At 50.8% G+C, this 19,521-nt stretch overlaps 1 protein-coding gene and 1 long non-coding RNA gene across 38 annotated transcripts in view, besides 5 other annotated features; one reads left to right on the top strand and one right to left on the bottom strand.

Moving 5' to 3' along the window:
• DENND3 (DENN domain containing 3) overlaps positions 1–15,099 on the bottom strand; it is a 67,216-nt gene extending 52,117 nt beyond the window's left edge. For 14 of the 25 annotated variants that reach the window (NR_148197.3, XR_007060719.1, XR_928312.4 and 11 more), the window contains exons 1-4: positions 14,879–15,099; positions 6,897–7,179; positions 5,551–5,666; positions 2,364–2,485 (exon numbers count right to left, since the gene is read on the bottom strand). Coding sequence is in view for 19 of the 25 variants with exons in the window: in NM_001362798.2 (NP_001349727.1) it covers positions 2,364–2,485; positions 5,551–5,666; positions 6,897–7,179; positions 14,879–14,980 (623 nt within the window). In the remaining 6 variants the exon portion in view is untranslated. Of the gene's footprint in view, positions 1–679; positions 1,389–2,363; positions 2,486–5,550; positions 5,667–6,896; positions 7,180–14,878 lie in introns of those variants that run through there. The other 11 variants (XR_007060720.1, XR_007060722.1, XR_007060721.1 and 8 more) reach the window with 3 other exon arrangements.
• Positions 8,412–9,030: an enhancer, noted in NCBI's record as "H3K27ac-H3K4me1 hESC enhancer chr8:142144757-142145375 (GRCh37/hg19 assembly coordinates)". NCBI's record gives its function as "activates a minimal SCP1, AML or CMV promoter by ChIP-STARR-seq in primed H9 embryonic stem cells {active_cell/tissue: H9 hESC(primed)}" and the evidence as "EXISTENCE:reporter gene assay evidence [ECO:0000049][PMID:30033119]".
• On the top strand, positions 13,547–19,010 carry DENND3-AS1 (DENND3 antisense RNA 1). Of its 13 annotated transcripts, none has more exons than NR_183307.1 (3): positions 13,547–13,664; positions 17,217–17,482; positions 17,830–19,010. It is a non-coding gene; the product is annotated as a DENND3 antisense RNA 1 (long non-coding RNA). The 13 variants fall into 13 exon arrangements; NR_183309.1 differs by adding an exon at positions 13,883–14,050 and having other exon boundaries at positions 17,217–19,010; NR_183299.1 differs by lacking the exon at positions 13,547–13,664 and adding exons at positions 15,378–15,455; positions 16,131–16,149 and having other exon boundaries at positions 17,217–19,010.
• Positions 14,008–14,838: an enhancer, noted in NCBI's record as "H3K27ac-H3K4me1 hESC enhancer chr8:142138949-142139779 (GRCh37/hg19 assembly coordinates)". NCBI's record gives its function as "activates a minimal SCP1, AML or CMV promoter by ChIP-STARR-seq in primed H9 embryonic stem cells {active_cell/tissue: H9 hESC(primed)}" and the evidence as "EXISTENCE:reporter gene assay evidence [ECO:0000049][PMID:30033119]".
• Positions 14,008–15,553: a biological region, named in NCBI's record as "H3K27ac-H3K4me1 hESC enhancer GRCh37_chr8:142138949-142139779".
• Positions 14,694–15,553: a silencer, noted in NCBI's record as "silent region_19589". NCBI's record gives its function as "represses an Ori minimal core promoter by ATAC-STARR-seq in GM12878 lymphoblastoid cells {active_cell/tissue: GM12878}" and the evidence as "EXISTENCE:reporter gene assay evidence [ECO:0000049][PMID:35858748]".
• Positions 15,672–16,503: an enhancer, noted in NCBI's record as "H3K27ac-H3K4me1 hESC enhancer chr8:142137284-142138115 (GRCh37/hg19 assembly coordinates)". NCBI's record gives its function as "activates a minimal SCP1, AML or CMV promoter by ChIP-STARR-seq in naive H9 embryonic stem cells {active_cell/tissue: H9 hESC(naive)}" and the evidence as "EXISTENCE:reporter gene assay evidence [ECO:0000049][PMID:30033119]".
• Positions 19,011–19,521: the final 511 nt, after the last annotated feature.

The raw sequence follows: 19,521 nt of genomic DNA, 5'->3' as shown, positions 1-19,521 counted from the left end.
ACACTGGTATTCCCAGCACCTTGGGAGTCCAAGGTGGGAGAATCACTTGAGGCCAGGAGTTCAAGGCCAGCCTGCGCAAGATAGTGAGACCCCCGTCTCTACAAAAAATTTAAAAATTATCCTGGTGTGGTGGTGTGCGCCTGTAGTCCCAGCTACCTGGGAGACAGAGCTGGGAGGATCACTTGAGCCCGGGAGTTTGAGGATGCAGTGAGCTATGATAGCGGCACTGCACCGCAGCCTCAGTGGCAGTGAGACCTTGTCTCTCAAAAAAATTTGTAAATGAAAATTAAAATACCCAATGTAAATGACGAGTTAATGGGTGCAGCACACCAACATGGCACATGTATACATACGTAACAAACCTGCACGTTGTGCACATGTACCCTAGAACTTAAAGTATAATAAAAAAAAATTTAAAAAAAACTACCCATACTCTGATTCCCAAAACACAACTAAATATATTCTTGCCCATTTTTTGTCCACGTGGAGACATATTTTGCATATTATCACACTAACAGAACCGATTTTTTTAAAACTACAAATTCGTGTTGTCATACGGCAATTTGAATTTCTGTCGTTTGCCTCTTCTGGCTGTATTCTGTTTCTGTATTTCGCCCCTTCTAGTTCTGATCACACAGCAATGGGCAATGAGAAAGAAAGAAGCATGAAAATGAACACATTTTCAAGTTAAATATGTGTTTGCTTTAATGTCTAGCAGGAGGATATCTGTTGCCAATCACACTATGAAAGGTCAGTTGCTGAATAAACACACATAACATCGACCAGGAGGCGGAGAAAACACCTCCTTTCTTCCTGTCTTCCAAGGGCATGTGTCTGGCGACCACCCATTCATTTCAGCAAACAAAAGGTGGAAATAACCATCTACATTTTACAGAAGAGGAAACTAGAGATTAGTGAAAACGCTGTTTACCTTCAAGTAATGAAGATCATCAGTTAGTGAATAAAAGGGGACCATGTACAGGCTTGGCATTCTGTCACTTCCTGGGCGCTGGTGACAGACAGTCAACAAACATGCATGTGCTCAATTCACCTGCTCATTGGCTACGACCAAGTCACCTCTCTGTTCTCAACGATATTTTATGTCTATGGCAATAAAATGTAGGCTAGACCCAAACTATGTCCAAAAGCCAGTTATATTTTAAGAAGTAAACCACTAAAGTGCTGGGATTTGAATTACGAGTCATTGATTTGAACAGTAAGGTTCCTGCTCACTCTCCATGGGGCTCGTCCCTCTGGTCAAGGCAGAAGGTCTCAAATGACTGTGCTTTGCAAGAAGCAAGAACAGCACCAATTCAGCGATTTGCCGTGGCTCATTCTCCAGCATGATGACACAAAAGGGAACTGTTGTTAACTGCTTTCTCCTCGGCCTTTAATCAAACAAATATAAATTCTCAGACTGTAACTTTATGAGACTCAAAAGAAACGGCTCCGTGCACAAGTGCCCACTGGGACTGACCATGTCTGAACTTGGGCTACAGCCCCCAACATCACAAAAGCATCCTTTGATAATGAGAGCCCACTGGGTTCTATACGATGTCTTTCTGATTTTTCAAAAGTTCTTTACGTCCTCAGCCTTTCTACTCACCATCAGCAGGGAGACAGTTACAGATTCTACAAAACAAGATGACAGGGTCCTGCTCTGTAACCTAGGCTGGAGTGTGGTGGTGCAATCACAGCTCACTGCAGCCTTGAACTCCTAGGCTTAAGCCATCCTCCTGCGTTAGCCTTCCCAGTAGCTGGGACTACAGGCACACACCACCATGCCCAACTAGTTTTTAAATTGTTTTTTAGAGACAGGGTATTGCTATGTTCCCTAGGCTTGTCTCAAACCCCTCGGCTCAAGCAGTCCTCCCATCTTAGTCTCCCAATATGCTGGGATTACAGGTGTGAGCCACCACACCCAGCCAAGGTCATCTTTAAAATGTCAATAAAACTCATTGGAACAAACAGCAGCCTCCTAATATTCTCAGCTAGGAAAAGAGTTTTTCCTAATATATGCCTTTTTGTGAAAAACTAAACAAAATGAAAATCCTGAACATCAACCTTACTTCCGACAGTGTGGCTTCATCCCTTTCCTACCATGCCATTACCGTATGTTACCAGTCACAGAGAGGAGCGCCCGCTGCCACACCCCCTGCCCACTGCCCCCAGCCTTAAGCAACAGCCTAAGAGGCACAGAGAACTGCCCCTCCTACTGCCCCCAGCGCCCGGTCCCCCGGCTCACCAGGAGAGGAACAGAGAGCTGCCCCCCCACCACCTCCAGCCCCCTGGTCCCTTGGCTCACCTGGAGAGGCACAAAGAGCTGCCCCCTACCACCCCTGGCCCCCGGTGCCCCAGCTCACCAGGAAAGGCAGTCCTTGAGGGAGTTGTAATAGGGAAACCTGGAGACCACGCACACCGCGAAGGGCACGAAGCAGCCAGGACACTCCCGGTGCGTTTTGCCATTGTAGAAACAGTACTCATCCTACATGAAAAGCAACAGCGACATGGTCACCTCCCCACCTTGGCAATTCCAGTATCTGTTTCCAACTGGGTCACGTTTCAGCACACAGCAAGCTGAGAGTCCACCATCCCCACCCCTGCAACGCGTCCAAGCCAGCACCGGCCCTCCGGTCGAAGTCTACGGGGTCCCTATTTGGTGCTTGCACCATTTGAGGTGCTGAGGCTATAAAGAGAGCAAGATGCATTCCTGCCCCAGAGAAGCTGACAGCCTTGAGATAAAAAGGAACACACGATTAGAACACAGTAAGACCCAAGACACACAAAGGACTCTGCTTTACAAGGGGAGAAAATGCAGGGGCCACGCACAGGAAGCGGCACCCACACGTGCCCAGGAGGACGGAGCAGGAGAGGCCTCAGCCTGTGTGGGAGCCACGGCCGCAGGGTTCTAGAAGGCCCAGCACACTGTGGAACTTACAAGTGGCAAAGTATTTGGGGCTCACCAACTGGGGAAGTGTTGTTAGTTTGGGGTTTTTTGTAGGGATGGAAGGGCATGATGATAGCTTCAGTGTGAGAACTTGCTGAATTTAGGGTACTTATAAGATATCCAGGTAAAGGGAGACATCAGGAAACAGTCAGCTACATCATTTGTCTATCTAACAAAATTTAATAAACATCCACTTTTCTAGGGTCAGTCTACTCAAGTTCCAACCCTGCCTGCTCTGTCATCTCAGGCAGGTCTTTTAACCTCTCTCTGCCACCATTTCCTCATCTGTCATCTCCCAACCTCATTCGTTGTGGTTAGGATTAAATGAATGACTACACAAAGTGCTTACGTCATGCCTGGTGCTGAGCTGCTCACACGCGCGCGTGGCTGCTGCTGCTACTGTTACAGTAGCCCGGGAGGAGCTGGAGCTACCCAGACACAATATGGTTCCCACCCTCAAGTCACGTAGTGTCGGTGGAAAGGCAGAGGAGAGTGTATGAGAGGGGCTGGGGCTGTGTTATCAATAGAACGATAGTTGGGGGCTGGACATGTAGCTCACACCTGTCATCCCAACACTTTTGGAGGCTGAGGCAGGATTCCAGTAGTTCAAGATCAGCATGGGCAACATAGCAAGACCTCATCTCTACAAAAAATAAGAAAAATTAGCCGGGCATGGTGGTGCACACCTGTGGTCCCAGCTACTCAGGAGGCTGAGGTGGGAGAATCACTTGAGCTAGCCCTGGAGTTCAAGGCTGCAGTGAGCCGTGATCACACCGCTGCACTAAAGCCTGGGTGACACAGCGAGACTGTCTCAAAAAAAAAAAAGAAAGAAAAAAACGATAGATATAGCGTCATCCGGATACATAGTGAAGAAGGAGAGATGAGTGCTGTGGGACCTGGGGATACCCCGAAACTACACAGCTGCTGGGAAGGCAGGAGCAGGACCAGGCATGCCCACGCCAGGCCGGCACACTGGGAACAGTGGCATCTGCTGTACTCATGCAAACCAGAGGGACTGCTCCTTTTTTTAATATGTATTATATTTAATGATAACGAAAACAACATGCGCATTGCTCCTGGTAAGTGTTATTTCACAAGCAAACTCCCAAGGTGCTTTTCTGAAAGATCCAACATCGTGGATCCTTTCTCATCTGGAACACTGGCTACGTGGAGGGGCACCTTCCTCTCATCCCTCCATTAACATAACCCTGGAAGAAAGGCCTGGGGCTGCTGGCAGCCAGGTCACAGAGGCGGACGCTGGTCCCCTGCATGCACCGCCCGAGAGCTGACCTTGGTTCTGCTCTTGGCACACTGTGAAAATGACCTCTCCCAGAAACCTAAGATTATGCATTCAGAGCATCAAGTAGTACGCTTTGCTCCTGCATATTCATTAAGAACATCCGGGCCTGTCTGTGCTGCCCCATGAGCTTACAGGGACAGAATCCATGTGATTATACCTCACGCCTCCCAACACTCAATGTCACATGTGTAAGCACGCTTCTACCAACAAAAACACGTGTCCCGGGCTCCGAGGGAATCCAGGCCAGCCATTTCTCTCGACTGCATGGAACTCACAGACTTCCCTTCATGGCACCAGGGCACCTAAATTAAGGCTCCGGCTCGCTTTTTGCTTCGGGAAACCCTCTGGACGTGTGCAGCAGGTCACCCTGCACCTTTGGATACATCGTTTCCCCTACGAGTTCCCCAAAGGCCCACTGATTCACACACACGGCCCTACCCAGACAACACTCCCAATATGTGTGACAGATGTAATGTGTTGTAAAGTCTAAACGCCAGTCGCTCACACCAAAGACAAAAGGCGGAAACAACCCACAGGTCCATCGACGGATACACGGAGAAATAAAATGTGGTCCATCCAAACGATGGAATGTCACTCGCCATAAAAGGCCACGGGGCACTGGCACACGCGCCCATGCACATGAACATCAAAACATGCTGAGGGAAAGAAGTCAGACAAGCAGGCCACATGCTGTATGAGTCCACTTACACGAAGTGTCCAGAATACATACATCCAGAGACAGAAAGGGGATTAGCCGGCCGGGCGCAGCGCTCACACCTGTAATCCCAGCACTTTGGGAGGCTGAGGCGGGTGGATCACCTGAGGTCAGGAGTTCGAAACCAGCCCGGCCAACATGGTGAAACCCCGTCTCCACTAAAAACACAAAAATTAGCTGGGCATGGTGGTGGGCACCTGTAATCCCAGCTACTCGGGAGGCTGAGGCAGGAGAACCACTTGAACCCAGGAGAAGGAGGTTGCAGTGAGCTGAGATGGTGCCACTGCACTCCAGCCTGGATGACAGAGCAAGACTCCATCTCAATAAAAAAAAAAAGCAAGCAGATTAGCCATCGCCAGGCAGGAAGGGGAAGCAGGACTGAAGGCTTAATGGTATGGGGTTTTCAGGGATGATGAAAGCGTTTTGGACCTAGACATTGGTGGTGGTTGCACAATGCTGTGAATGTACTTAATGTTACGGAACTGCACACTTTAAAATGGTTAGAATGGTGAATGTTGTGTTATGTGTATTTCACCATAATAAAAAATCTAAACCCAATTTCAGAGGGGAGTAACGGGAACCACCTACATGCAGGGGCCGGTAGTACTGGGCCACCACGCCATAGGTCCTATTCCCGCAGACATCGGTCAGCACCAGGAAGTGGACGCAATCCTCCTTAGGTTCAGTGGCCACGCACACACCCCCTGCAGGCAGAAAGAGACAGAGAAGAATCCTGTTCTTGCCAAGTGGCCTGGGTTACCCACGAGCTGATTTCTTCACAGTGTTTAGGACACACCTCCACAGTTAGCAGTGGTGGTGCCTTCATGTCCAAGGCGGGTTCATTCTTCCGATCACGCCTCCGGCCGTCTATCCTCCCTGAGTCCCTCCCCACACAGCAATTTCTTTACAAGCTCTCAAGCACCTGCCAGCCAGTGGCAGTGCTTGCTGGGCACAGCCGCCCACCTGGCGCCTGTCCCAGGTTTATAATCCCTGTGACCAGGAAATAGCACCAAGTTCTGAGGTGGGTGCTTATGCTAGGTGCTTCGTCTGAGTTTCCTACCTCGGCCATTTTAACATTCCTGAAGACCACAGGAAAAATAACGCCCCAAAATGCAAGCTCACCTGTTAACTGGAACTGGCGAGCCTGGGGACTAAGTGCAGGCCTGTGCTTCTTGCCCCAGTGAAACGGAAAACGGGAGGTGGAAGGGAGAGGCTCAGGCACACTGGGGGTGGAACCGCTGCAGATGAACTGGATGTATTTTTAATCCATCTGCCAACCACTGCAAGACTTCATTTTAAGTCAAAGGGGAAAAGCCTTGAATGCACCAGGAACAAATGGTTTTACCTGGAAGTTCATGCAGACTCCCTTCCAGGACTCAATTCTCCAAAACACCGGGACCACACGCAATGATTTACATTTCCTTCAGCTTTAAAATCCCCAAGGTAGGTCGAGCACGGTGGCTCACGCCTGTAATCCCAGCACTTTGGGAGGCTAAGGCAGGTGGATCACTTGAGGCCAAGAGTTCAAGACCAGCCTGGCCAACATGGTGAAACCCCATTTCTACTAAAGACACAAAAGTTAGCCAGGCGTGGTGGTTGGCACCTGTAATCCCAGCTACTTGAGAGGCTGACGCAGAAGAATCACTTGAACCCAGGAGGCAGAGGATGAAGTGAAAGGAGATTGTGCCACTGAACTCCAGCCTGAGTGACAGAGTGACGCTCCGTCTCAAAAAAGTAAATAAATAAATAAATAAATATAAAAAATTAAAAAAATCCCCAAGATTAAGAAAACTAAATCCCACAAGAGGAGGCAGTGAGGGGTCCCTGGCTCTGCCGCTCACGTCACTTCCCTCTGCCTGTGGGTTTCTGGGAATAGACCACTCTGGGTGGCCGGCAGCAGGAGGCGCCCAGTGGTGCCCACCTCCTAGACATACCTGGGAAGCACAGCTGCGGCAGGGTGAGGAGGTCCACGCCGCCCGGGACGGCGACATCCTCAGGCTCTGGCGCTCTGGGGGGCCCCGGGAGGCCCTTCCACTGCTCTGGTCTGGGCTTCTCTCTCTTCTTTCTCAAGGAGCGCATCCGGGTTTTACCGAGAGTGCCGCAGTTGGCACCGGCCATTTGACTGTCCTCTTTACTGATAAAAGGAGGCACGAAAATGGACAGGACCTCTGGATCAAGAAGAGCAGAAAGATGTTTGACTCCCTTTTTATAAGCAACCTAAAAAAGGGAAAAATAAGAGTTACTGCCACAGCCTCAGCTCTTGTTCGAGGGTATCCTTTCTGTCTGAGCTTCACTGCTTGTTTTTCTCCTCCCCTCGGTGCCCATAAACACTGGCGCCTCAGGCTCCTAACAGTAAAGGGCTCCTGGGAAGCTTCTTTTAGGAACCTGCCAGGCCCTATGTTCAGGGAAGCCACGTAGACTCGCAGAGCCTGGCTCTTCAGCTGTGGACATGGACAGCAGGACCTCACCTCCTTCCTATAAAGCACTGCCGTCCAGGCTGCGGACTGGGATCCACAGACCTGAGTTCAAGTCCTGGCTGTGCCTCCACCTCCTGACAGCAAGCTTCTTTGTCCCTCCAAGCTTCCCTTTAAGCGGCGAGTACAGGGAATAACAGAGACAATGTGGGTCCGGTACTCAGCCCAGCGGGGCTGCCAGGAGCCTATGGATATACTGTTCAGCCCTCCCTGGGTGGGGGCAGGCTCTGTATATTGTCAAACCCCACACATACACATTTACCAGGGCCACGCCCTCCACACCCCCACGTGGGCCAGTGCTGCCTCCTTTCTACCACACTGATCTGGGAGGACGCATGGAGTGAGAAACAGCACTGGTGGGTACAGATGAGACATGTGCCCTTCCTCGGCTGACCAAACAGTCCCTCAAATCAATAAAAGGGGGGCATTTGGCCTGAATTCTTCTCAACTTTAACTTGGCATAATTTTTATTTTTGCCTTTTTTCTTCCCATTCTTTCCTAAAATAATACAAAGCACATGGGCCATCCCTTCAATCTCTCTTCCATGTTACTACTATGCCCAATACAGCTCCTAGTACAGAGCTAGGACAAAACAAATACTGCTGCCCGGCTGATTTCAGATCTTTCCAAGGTGGACACCCTGCAGTCTGCGAGCAAGAAGGAAGTGGTTCTGGTACTAAACTAGCCCGAAACAGCAAAGCTTGAAGCAAGGGGCCCTGGGTACCCAAGGCATGGAGAGACAGGAGGTGGCCAAAGGCAGGTAGTCAAGGGTCTTTAAGGGACCCTAGAAAGGACAGCATTGCCGGGTGCAGTGGCTCACGCCTGTGATCCCAGCACTTTGGGAGGCCAAAGCGGGAGGACTGCTTGAGCCCAGGAGTTCAAGGCCAGCCTGGGCAACAAAATGAGACCTCGTCTCTACAAAAAATAAAAAAATTAGCCAGGCATAGTGGCACATGCCTGTGGTCCCAGCTACACAGGAGGCTAAGGCAGGAAGATCGCCTGAGCCCAGGAGGTTGAGGCTGCAGTGAGCTGTGATCACACCACTGCGCTCCGGCCTGGGTGAAAGAGCAAGACCTGGTCTCAAAAAAAAAAAAAAAAAGAAAGAAAGAAAGAAAGAGCTGGGCGCGGTGGCTCATGCCTGTAATCCCAGCACTTTGGGAAGCCGAGGCGGGCAGATCACGAGGTCAGATCGAGACCATCCTGGCTAACACAGTGAAACCCCGTCTCTACTAAAAATACAAAAAAATTAGCCGGGCTTGGTGGCGCATGCCTGCAGTCCCAGCTACTCGGCCGGGCGGGGGGCTGAGGCAGGAGAATGGCATGAACCCAGGAGGCGGAGCTTGCAGTGAGCCGAGATCTCACCACTGCAGTCCAGCCTGCGCGACAGAGCAAGACTCCGTAAGGAAGAAAGGAGATAGCACTGCCATCCAGAGAAATGGGACCTTGGCTGACAGAAAACGCACAGCCAACACTCAACATTCCAATAAGACACAGCAGTGACAAAAGGGGAGTCTTACGCTGGAAGAAATTTCAACAACGGCAGCAGTTTCCATCAGTAAGCACACTCTGATCTCTATATGACGATTTGCACGCTACATCACTCAAATTCGGTCAACAATTGCTTTACATTTGGAGAAAAAAATGTATCAGTAGGAACCAGGACAAAACATGGGAAATCCGACTGGGAGCGGTGGCTTACGCTTGTAATCTCAGCACTTTGGGAGGCAGATCACGAGGTCAGGAGATCGACACCACAGTGAAACCCTGTCTCTACTAAAAATACAAAAAATTAGCCGGGCATGGTGGCGGGCGCCTGTAGTCCCAGCTACTCGGAGAGGCTGAGGCAGGAGAATGGCGTGAACCCGGGAGGCGGAGCTTGCAGTGAGCCGAGATCACACCACTGCACTCCAGCCTGGGCAACAGAGCGAGACTGTCTCAAAAAAAAAATAAAATAAAAATAAAAAATAAAAAATATGGGAAATCCATATTATTTTATAACTTAAAAGCTCTAGTGTAGCATGCACGAAAAGTCCATTTCCTCAATTACATGTCACTTTCTCTAAAACTTTCCCATCAGAATGGACAGTTCTGACCCAACTAATGGTGCACATTCAAGGCAGCATATGAGATGAGTGAGCAGCCCTCCTCCTGGATCCTGGAACTGTCTTGATCTCGCCTCCCTTCTGGTTTCCCTTGGTCTGATGGCTCCTCTCTGGCCCCTACAGACCCTTCTCAGTCCTGCTCACAGGTTGCGACTCCCAGGCCTGGGTCCTTCGCACCATCCTCCTGAAGGACCTCAGCACTCACAGCCCAAAGTCCTATTCCCAGCCCACACCTCTTTCCAGTCCCAGGCTTCCCCTGACTGCCTCCTGCCACCCCCACTGCACCTCTGGGGTCCCTTAAACTTACGGTCTCAAAAATTAAGCTTCTGCTAGTTTCCAAAAAGCCTGATCTCCCACCTGTGTTCTCCTCTGCAACAAACACAGTGCAGTTCGGGTCTTCAGAGCTGGTACTCCAGCCCCTCGGGCCCCAGCCCCACCATGCCCCACCTGCAGACCTACACCTCAGCCACTGGTCCTGGAGAGCCTCTCCATCAGCTCGATGCTGCCCCGCTGCACCATGTTTCCACACCAAGCACCTGCAAGACCCGTGGCTCCAGGCAGGTAGCAAGTAACCAGAAGCAAAGCCTTGGAGGTTTCTGTCAGGAGAAGGAGGAAGATGCTGCCTCCCACCCAGCCCAGGGCTCCCCACTAGCATCTGTGTCCACTCTCCCAACGAGGGACGTCCCTGTCTGACCGCAAACCAGATACTTTGTGGCCCCAACCCAGCCTTGAAGCATCACAGCCCCATCCCCACATTGAAGAAAGCAAAGAGTGTTTGTTTCGCCACATCATGATACTGTATCTTCCCACGTGTCATACGTGGGCATGAGTCAGGACAGTGCACCCCTGAGCAGCAGGCCAGCTCGCTCCCTAAGCCAGGATGCCCCCAAAGCCAAGCAAAACTAAACTCCCTGGGGTTCTCAGAACACACAGCACCTCTGCAATGACCCTGCTCTTCCATGGGCTCAGGCCCCAGCCCCTCGCTGCTCCACCTGCACGGGGGCAGACCCTCCACCCCCCACGCTCACTGCAGAAGGTCTCTGCCACCCCGCAGCCAGGACCACAGGCTCCTCCAGGCCTCCACCTCCCAGCTCATCACCCCCTGGAGCATCTCGGCCCTGCCCAGTGGTATTTTACCACCTTCCATTTGAGGGGATGCGGTGGAGCAGAGATTGTGTTGTATTCCTCTCTGTCCCCACATTTAGCAGAGAAGATGACTGAGGCGATATCGTTCCTCATTCACACTCCTGGCACCTGGTGATCTCTTAGAGGCATGCTCAGCCTGGACTGAACACTGGTGATCACACTAGACTCAACACCCCACCTGTCATTCCTCTAGTTATCTCTAGTCACTTATAATGATGTGCCCCAGATCCGATCAACTTGGCATTCAGTAGTTCACCATACACCTGTTTTTTCTCAGAATGAAATCTCTGTTGTCTTTTCTCAATGGACAAGCAATACAATCTCATTTTTAAAAATAACAATATAGAGGCCAGGCACAGTGGCTCACGCCTGTAATCCCAGCACTTTGGGAGGCTGAGGCAGGTAGATCACCTGAGGTCAGGAGTTCAAGACTAGCCTGATCAACATGGAGAAACCCCCTCTCTACTAAAAATACAAAATTAGCCAGGCATAGTCGTACATGCCTGTAATCCCAGCTACTCGGGAGGCTCAGACAGGAGAATCGCTTGAACCTGGGAGGCAGAGGTTGCAGTGAGCCGAGATGGCACCATTGTACTCCAGCCTGGGCAACAAGCGTGAAACTCCATCCCCCACAAAAAAAAATAATAAATATAGAAATAATAAAGGAGCTAATAGAAAGGGACGGCCCTCCCATAATTCCATGACACACTTTGCACAGGGTGGATACATCCTTCCCATTTTATGCCTTTTTGTGCATTTTATACATTTTAATGCATGTATAAACGTATAATTTTGTTTCATAAATGTAGTCATCCTACATAACAGGTTCCATTAGCTGTTTTAACTACTTCATGTGGCTGACCTCCCTGTTTACAACCGTACAGTATCACAATATCACAGCATGTGTCAACTCAGTCATGTATTGACCCAGCCTCCTCCTGAGAGATGTGTGGGTGGTTCTCAAGTCTTCACCACACTGAACAGAGCGGTGACACACACTTGCACGCACCCAGTTCTTTCCCTAGAATAAATTCCTAAAAATGGAAGTCTTGGCACAAGAGTGTTCCAAGGTTACTTGGTGATACAGGTTGTGGCTGCCCTGAACAACCAGACCCCGCCACCACCGAGACGCTAGTCACCTCTGCCAGTCTGCTGCAGGAGGTGAGGTCATTTCCCATTCTTCTGTCCCAGGTGCTGACTTATTAAACCCCTACCCAATAACCATCATTTTGGTTTTTAAAACTGCTAATTCAAAAGTAAAAACCAGAACACTCTAATTTACTTGAGTCACAGGTTAATTTCTAAGTTAGAGTACACAGTGGAATTCATCTTCACTATAGGATTGGCCATTATTAAGGGAATAAAACAGAAATTAATCAATTTTTTTATTGCTCTCCAACTGTTTAGTTAGAATTAAATGAAATTTTAAACCCAGTTTCTTAGCTCACTGGCCACACTACAAGCTCAGTGACCACATGTGGCCAGTGGCTATTGTACTGCACGGTGCAAAGAGAGGACACGAACTGCCATCACCCAGGAAGGCCAGCTGGCCAGTGCTGTTCTGAAACTGAAAGTCAGGACGATGTCCACCAAAAGCCATAAAAATGGAGCTTCACACGCAAGAATTATGCGGGTGACCTGTACTACGCAAGGTACTCAGAACACTTTCTACTCCTGTGTGATGGATTTATAATGGATCCTGTCACACCTATGTCTAGTCTCCATAGCAACCAATAATGGGGTTGGGGAGGGCTCTATAGTAAAGGGGTGGAGGGGAATGTAACTAACCACAGTAACTAACATTAGCCTGCATTCTCAAAGTCTCGGTCACCATTCCTAAAAAAACAAACACTACTCCCCCTTCTAGGAAATGAAACAAAAGGGCCCTCCACTATCCAACATGAAGCTGGATATTCCTCATACCTCCGGACCTCTGTTTTCCTGTGTCATCAAGAAGGAATGCCTGGGCCACAGAGAAATGGGGATTTGTAAAAGTCAAGGTAAAAATTATTTAAAAGCGGCCAGGTGCGGTGGCTCACACCTATAATCCCAACACTTTGGGAGGCCGAGGCGGGCAGATCGTGAGGTCAGGAGTTTGAGACCAGCCTGACCAACGTGGTGAAACCCTGTCTCTACTAAAAATACAAAAATTAGCTGGGCATGGTGGCACACGCCTGTAATCCCAGCTACTTAGGAGGCTGAGGCAGGAGAATTGCTTGAACTCAGGAGGCGGAGATTGCAGTGAGCCGAGATTGCACCATGGCACTCCATCCTGGGCAACAGAGCAAAACTCTGTCTCAAAAAAAAAAAAATATATTTAAAAGCCTTGGACATTCAAAATAGAACCGCCGAAAAAACATCTAAATAAATAAAATCATATGTTTGGTTAACTATAACATTAATATTGACCTTAAAAGTAGGATGGCTCCAAGAAATGGAATCCATCCCCTAACGCTCCTTATTTTCTTAGTCCTTCACTACTTTTCTCTCCACCCTTTGCCAAACCCCTAACAGAATCAAAAGACAGAGTAAAGAGGACAAAGTTAAGCATGCACAGTAGCAGACTGTCCATACTCTCACTTGACCTGGGAACATGAAAATGTTGCAGCGTGTTTAGTTCAGGAATGCACCACTGGCCAGGCGCAGTGGCTCACGCCTGTAATCCCAGCACTTTGAAAGGCTGAGGCGGGAGGATCACTTGAGCTCAGGAATTGGAGATGAGTCTGGGCAACACAGTGAGACCTCCTCTCTATTATTAACATAATAATAATAATAAAGAAATTGAAAAAAAGAAAGCACCACTGCAAATATTCCAGTTGATTCGCCCTGCCCTCAAAAGACATGTGTCACACCAAGCAACTAACACCCATGTTGTAACTGCCCCAGAGGAAAGACGTTCAACGGCTGAGGAGACCACAGCGGCAACTAGGTCACTTCCTATTCGAAGAAAAAGGAGGAGATGCCATCTGGCAAATTCGAGGTAGGGAGACAAATCAATCGATGACGTTGCGAGGAGACAGAGGTCAAACGGGATCTACTGACATGACAGGGCGTTGAAGGGAAGGAAAAGTTGAGGGAAACGAGGAAACTATTTCCATAGGAGAATGCTTTTTCACTGAAGTCGAAACTGGCTTGGTACTGACGCCCAGCAGGGGAAACTCCCCGGACACTCACAGACATTCATCTGGTTACTTGCAGGAACATCTGCCTTTCCTGGTGACACCCTCTGCCCTGCAGTCTTCATTTTCCCTGGATAGCCCAGCGTCATTTAAATACTCAGAAGCCTCTCTGCCTTTCTATGCTGTTGTCTGCAAAGAGATGAACGGACCTGTGCAGACGGCTGGCCAGTGACGCCGGGATCTCTAGGTAACATGACCCAGTCACGGTGTCACAGACAGGCGGACCAGGAGGAAACCAGAGACACAGATGGATTCCAGGGAAAGCCAGCGTTACAGAATTAAGAAAAGCTGGGGAAGAAAAAGGAAAACGAGAATTTCCAAAACTGCCGCTTTCCCAGCAGAAGGGAGATGAAGTTGTCACTTTGGCTGCGAGGGTGCAGAGATGGAGGAAGGGTTGGGGGTGGGGGTGGTACCGCAAGGGAGAAAAATAGCTATAGGCTTCATCGCAAAGGGGTTCATGCAGAATACGCGAGGCCGGCGGCTAACTCTAAGATTGCTCTCTCGTTATTCTGTGCCTGGTGCAAAACCCACTACTCAGGGGACAACACATCCCAGCATAAAGAATGAAATCATTTCAGCAGCGAGGGCTGGGCCCGCTAGACCGTGAGGCTCCGGCGGCTTCCGCCCGTTGTCTGGTGCACCCCACCTTCAGAAGCACCTGCCCAAGATGGGAGCGACTGAAGAGAGAGGCCCCAGAGACTCTCCGAGGGGCGGCACCCCCAGATTCCCGGCCGGCGGACCAAGTTCGCAGCTCTCAAAAGACATGTCTCACACCAAGGGCCCCGGGCGGGGAGAGGAGAGAAGAGGGGAGGGGAGCAGGGCGCTGCTCCAGGGCACCTGCCTGAGCTCGGGCGCGATCCCCGGCCACAGGCGCGCGGGGTCACCGCCGGGGGACCGGGACTCAGCCCTCGGAAAGTCCGCGCCAACCCACAGGGCACCCGGGCGCCCGCTCTCCGACTGCTGTCCCGGCTGCCGACTCGTGGCCCACGTCCGCCTCAGTTTCCCCGCCCCTCACCTGCTCGAGACTTCGGAGACTGTCCCGGGGGGCGCCCAGCAGCGCGCAGAGCTCCAGCAGCCCCGAGGGCAGCGACAAGTGCGGCGACGCGGCCTCCGCCATGGCTGCCCGCCGCCCGCCGCCAGTACCGCACTCGGGCGCCTCAGCCGCGCAGTCGCCCGCAGACCCCTGGGGACCAGCCGCGCCGCCTGGGGGCCGGGGGCGCTGCGAGCGCCGTCTGCGGGGCGGGGCTGGAGGCGGGGCCTGGAGGGGCGGGGCCCGAGCCGAGGCGGGGCCTGGAGAGCCCCAGAGGATACCGCGGGGAGACAGAGTTTGGGGGCGGGGCTTGACTGGGCGGGGAGGTTCTGGGCGGGGCCTGGAGTGGCGTGCCCGGCCCTAGGGACCGGGACTTGGGGGCGGGGCCGGTCCTAGGGCGGGTGCTGCTGGAGACCCGCGCGCGGTCGTCATTTCCTAACCCGCCTGCGGGCCCTGGCGCGTGCGCGGCGTCGGAGCAAGCGGCCCCTTCCTTCGGCCCCGCCCAGCCCCGCCGGCCGCCCGCTCCCTGGGGAACCGAGGGAGGAATGGGCGGGGTCCTCAGGTGCCCGGCGACGTCATCCAGCCCCCAAGGCTCCAGGACGCAAAGGGTCCCCTGATCTGGCAGTCCCTGGACCTACCCTGGAGAGCGTGGGGGGACAAAGGCCGGACGCGCCGCCCGCTGCCGCCTCCAGGAAGCCCTCCCTTGCCAGGACAGTGGAGTTGGCCGGGTGTGGACAGCAGGAAGGGCCGGCGGGAAGGGGGGGTGGAAAGAGCCACTCCTGGTTAATAACTCTGCGGGGTTAACCTAGGGCCGGCCATACTCAAGTACGGACTTGAGTAAAATTCAGCAGGAAAAGGAGCAGGGTGGGCGCCGCTAGAGGGAGGCTTCAGGACTGAGGGTCAGAGGCCCAAGGCCTGGCAGGGCCCTTCCCTGGTCAGCTCCAGGCTTGGCCTGATGCCCGGTGGGCCACGGGCCTCTTCCAGCCTCAGGCTGACCCCAGAGAAAGAGGACAGCCCACAAGCCCGGGAGGCCGGCTTGCTGCCTGGTCATTGCTGCAGAGCCTGGAGGGGGCCTGCGCTCAGTCCCCGCTGACCGTCCCCTCCCTTGACCCTGCCATAGCCATCTGTGTAACCCAGGGGAAATTATTCCAAAGGGACTTCCACTTCTGATAATCTATGATTCTATTTTCTAAAAAACAAAACTCTAAAATGCTTAATGTCAAACATCTGTCATCAGCTGAACAGGAAAAGGAACAGTAAGTACAAAGCAAGGCAACATCAGAAAAGGGAGCCCTGAGGAATTTCTCCCTCCTTCCCTGAGCCGGGTGAGGCCGTGACTGCAGCCTGACTCACAGGTTTTATTTCACTTATTAACCTAAAGATGGTGAGGATCTGCTGGTTCTCCCCCAGGCCTGGAGGCTGCCTACCATCGGTGGCTCTCATCGGTGAGCTGAGGCCACAGTTGTTATAGTCTCTGACTTCAAAAGAAAGACCGATTTCATGAACAATTGCCTGTCTCTCTCGACGGTGGCCTCGGTTTTTTGTTGTTGTTTTTCTGTTTGTTTTTGAGACAGAGTTTTGCTCTTGTAGCCCAGGCTGGAGTGCAGTGGCATGATCTCAGCTCACTGCAACCTCTGCCTCCCAGGTTCAAGCGATTCTCCTGCCTCAGCCTCCAGAGTAGCTGGGATTACAGGCGCCCACCACCACACCTGGCTACTTTTTGTATTTTTAGTAGAGATGGGGTTTCACCATGTTGGCCAAGCTGGTCTCAAACTCCTGACCTTAGGTGATCCACCCGCCTTGGCCTCCCAAAGTGCTGGGATTACAGGCATGAGCCACCACACCCAGCCTTGGTGGCCTCATTTTTAGCAGCCTCTGCAAAGCACACAGCCTGAATCCGTCACCTAGAGTCCCCAGCATGCAGGAGAGGCGCTCTCAACCCGGGCTGGAGCCATGAGCCACTCCCTGAGGGCACACAGGGCCTGAGTCTGGCTCCTGTGTGTTGCTGTGTGACAGGTGAGCTCAACAGCCCTAAGCCGTGACTTCCTGAGGGGCAGTGGTCAAGATCCAAGGGAGGTAAACACATGGCAGCTCTTGCCACCAGGACCCAGTAAGGCTCACGCGAGAGCAGGTCTCTGCTGTCCCTTTATCACCAAGAGGCCAAATGCTTTAAGGAAGAGAGCTCCAGCAGTGCACAGAGCTTGCAATCCACTCCTTTATGCCCCCTTTTCCTCCTCCTTAAAACCAGATAATTGGGCCAGATGACCTCTGAGGGGCTCCCAGTTCTGCACTTTTTAATACGCTCCCGTCTCTCATGCCACAGGTCCTTCCAAAGTGCCTACGGAAAGCTTTGTCCCATCCTTGAAAAATTGCTAATGGGTTTGGAGATACGAGGTGGAGATGACTAGCAATCAAACTCAAAGGTGGAAGTCACATCGAGGCAGATGAGCAGATGAGGGGACCTAGAGAAGAAGAGAGGTGCAAGGAGAGCCCAGCCAGCAGGAACATCTGCCCCAGTAGGCAGCACTGCCCCACATCAGAGTCGAGGAAAGCAAAGCTCGGATTGGATAAAAGAAACTTGCAAACACGGTCAGTGCTTACTGCATGTGGGCTCAGAGCACGTTACCCTCCTTCCCTGCATGTTCCTGTGAAACGGGTTTACTGCTCTAACTCTCAGGGACACTGTGAAGACCAAACGAGAAAATAGAAACAAACATAATTTATAAACCATAAAGTACTGACACCAAAAGAGGGGCGAGCACAGCATTGTGAATGTGCTGGTACTAAATGGTTTGTTTTAAGATGATTTTATGGTGTGTGAATTTCACTTGAATAAATTTTTTTAATGGAGTTCATGGGGACGCTGCAGGATGTCAATTAACTTTGGACATTTTAGCAGCGCTTTAGGTGTTAAAATTATTTTTTAAAAAATACAGGATGAAGGGAAAAGCTTCATGACATTGGATTTGGCAGTGATTCCTTGGATATGACCCCAAAAGCACAGATAACGAAAGAAAAAATAGTTAAATTGTCTTCATCAAAATTAAAACTTTTGTACATCAAAGAACTCTTTCAAAAGAGTGAAAAAGTCACAGAATAAGAGAAAATCATATACCTGATAAAGAATTAATATTCAGAGCCAGATGCAGTGGCTCATGCCTGTAATCCCAGCACTTTGGGAGGCCAAGGCAGGCAGATCACTTGAGATCAGGAGTTCGAGACAAGCCTGGCTAAAATGGTGAAACCCCAGCTCTACTAAAAATACAAAAATTAGCCAGGCGTGGTGGCGTGCACCTGGAATCCCAGCTATTCGGGAGGCTGAGGCAGGAGAATCGCTTGAACTCAGAAGGCAGAGGTTGCAGTGAGCCAAGATCACACCACTGCACTCCAGCCTGGGCGACAAAGTGAGACTCCATCTCAAAAAAACAAAACAAAACAAAACAAAACAAAGAGTTACTATTCAGAATATATTAAGAATTCCTACAACTCAACAACAAAAAAAAATCCAACCCAATTAAAAAATGGGCAACAGACCCAAATAGACATTTCTTAGAAGACACACAAATGGCCAATAAGCTCATGAAAACATGTTTAACATCACTAATCATTAGGGAAATGCAAATCAAAGCTAAAATGAGATACCACGTCACACTCATTAGGTGTTATTTTTTAAAAATAACACAACAACAAAAAATAAGAAATGTGGGCGAGGATGTGAAGAAATTGAAACCCTTGTGGACTGTTGTTGGGGATGTAAAATGGCGCAGCTGCTGGGGAAAACAGTATGGGAGTTCCTCACAAAACTAAACAGAATTGCCAAACGACCCAGCGATCCTGCCTCTGACATATACTGGAAAGAACTGAAATAAGGCGCTGGAACAGACACTTGTAACCCATGTTCACAGCTGAGCCAAAAGGTGGGAGTAACCCAAATGTCCATCAGTGGATGAATACTGGCAATAAAAGCTGTGTCTGGAGGCCACTCCGTTTCACACAGCTCTCCACACGGGTGAGGGCACAGCCTTCTCGTCTCTTTCCTATGCTGCATCTTCAGAGCTAGCTATGATATGATATGATGTGATATGTACATATCGAATATACATGTTTTACATGCAAATGCAACCAGTTTATTGAGGGCTTGATGGGGGATATGGGAGTTGCGGGGGAGAATGGTCTTGTATTTCCAATTTAAAAATAACAACAACAAAACGGGACAGAAGTGCAAGACTTTTAGTGTTCTCTAGAGCAATGTCACTCTGTCCCTAGACGAATGGTAGGAGCGGGACATGTTCATATGTCCTCGAGGTGTGACCGCACATGGGCACACAGTAGCCCAAAGCATATCCCAGCCGGGAGCAGTTCCTTTTATGGGGCCGCCTGGGCAGGATCCAAGGTGCTGGGTTTGAAACAAAAAGGAGTGACTCTGTCCCACACCAAGTAACACCAAACCTCACTGACCTCAGTTTTCTTATCTGTAAAAAGAGCAATGCGGGGGCTGGCTCAGTGGCTCATGCCTGTAATCCCAGCACTTTGAGAGGCCGAGACAGGTGGATCACCTGAGGTCAAGAGTTCGAGACCAGCCTGGCCAACATGGTGAAACCCCGTCTCTACAAAAGTACAAAATTTAG

This window comes from Homo sapiens, chromosome 8 (assembly GCF_000001405.40).
Source record: "Homo sapiens chromosome 8, GRCh38.p14 Primary Assembly".
Classification (NCBI taxonomy): Eukaryota; Metazoa; Chordata; class Mammalia; order Primates; family Hominidae; genus Homo; species Homo sapiens.
Note: the sequence above shows the minus strand (reverse complement) of the source record. Positions and strands in the feature narration are given on the sequence as shown.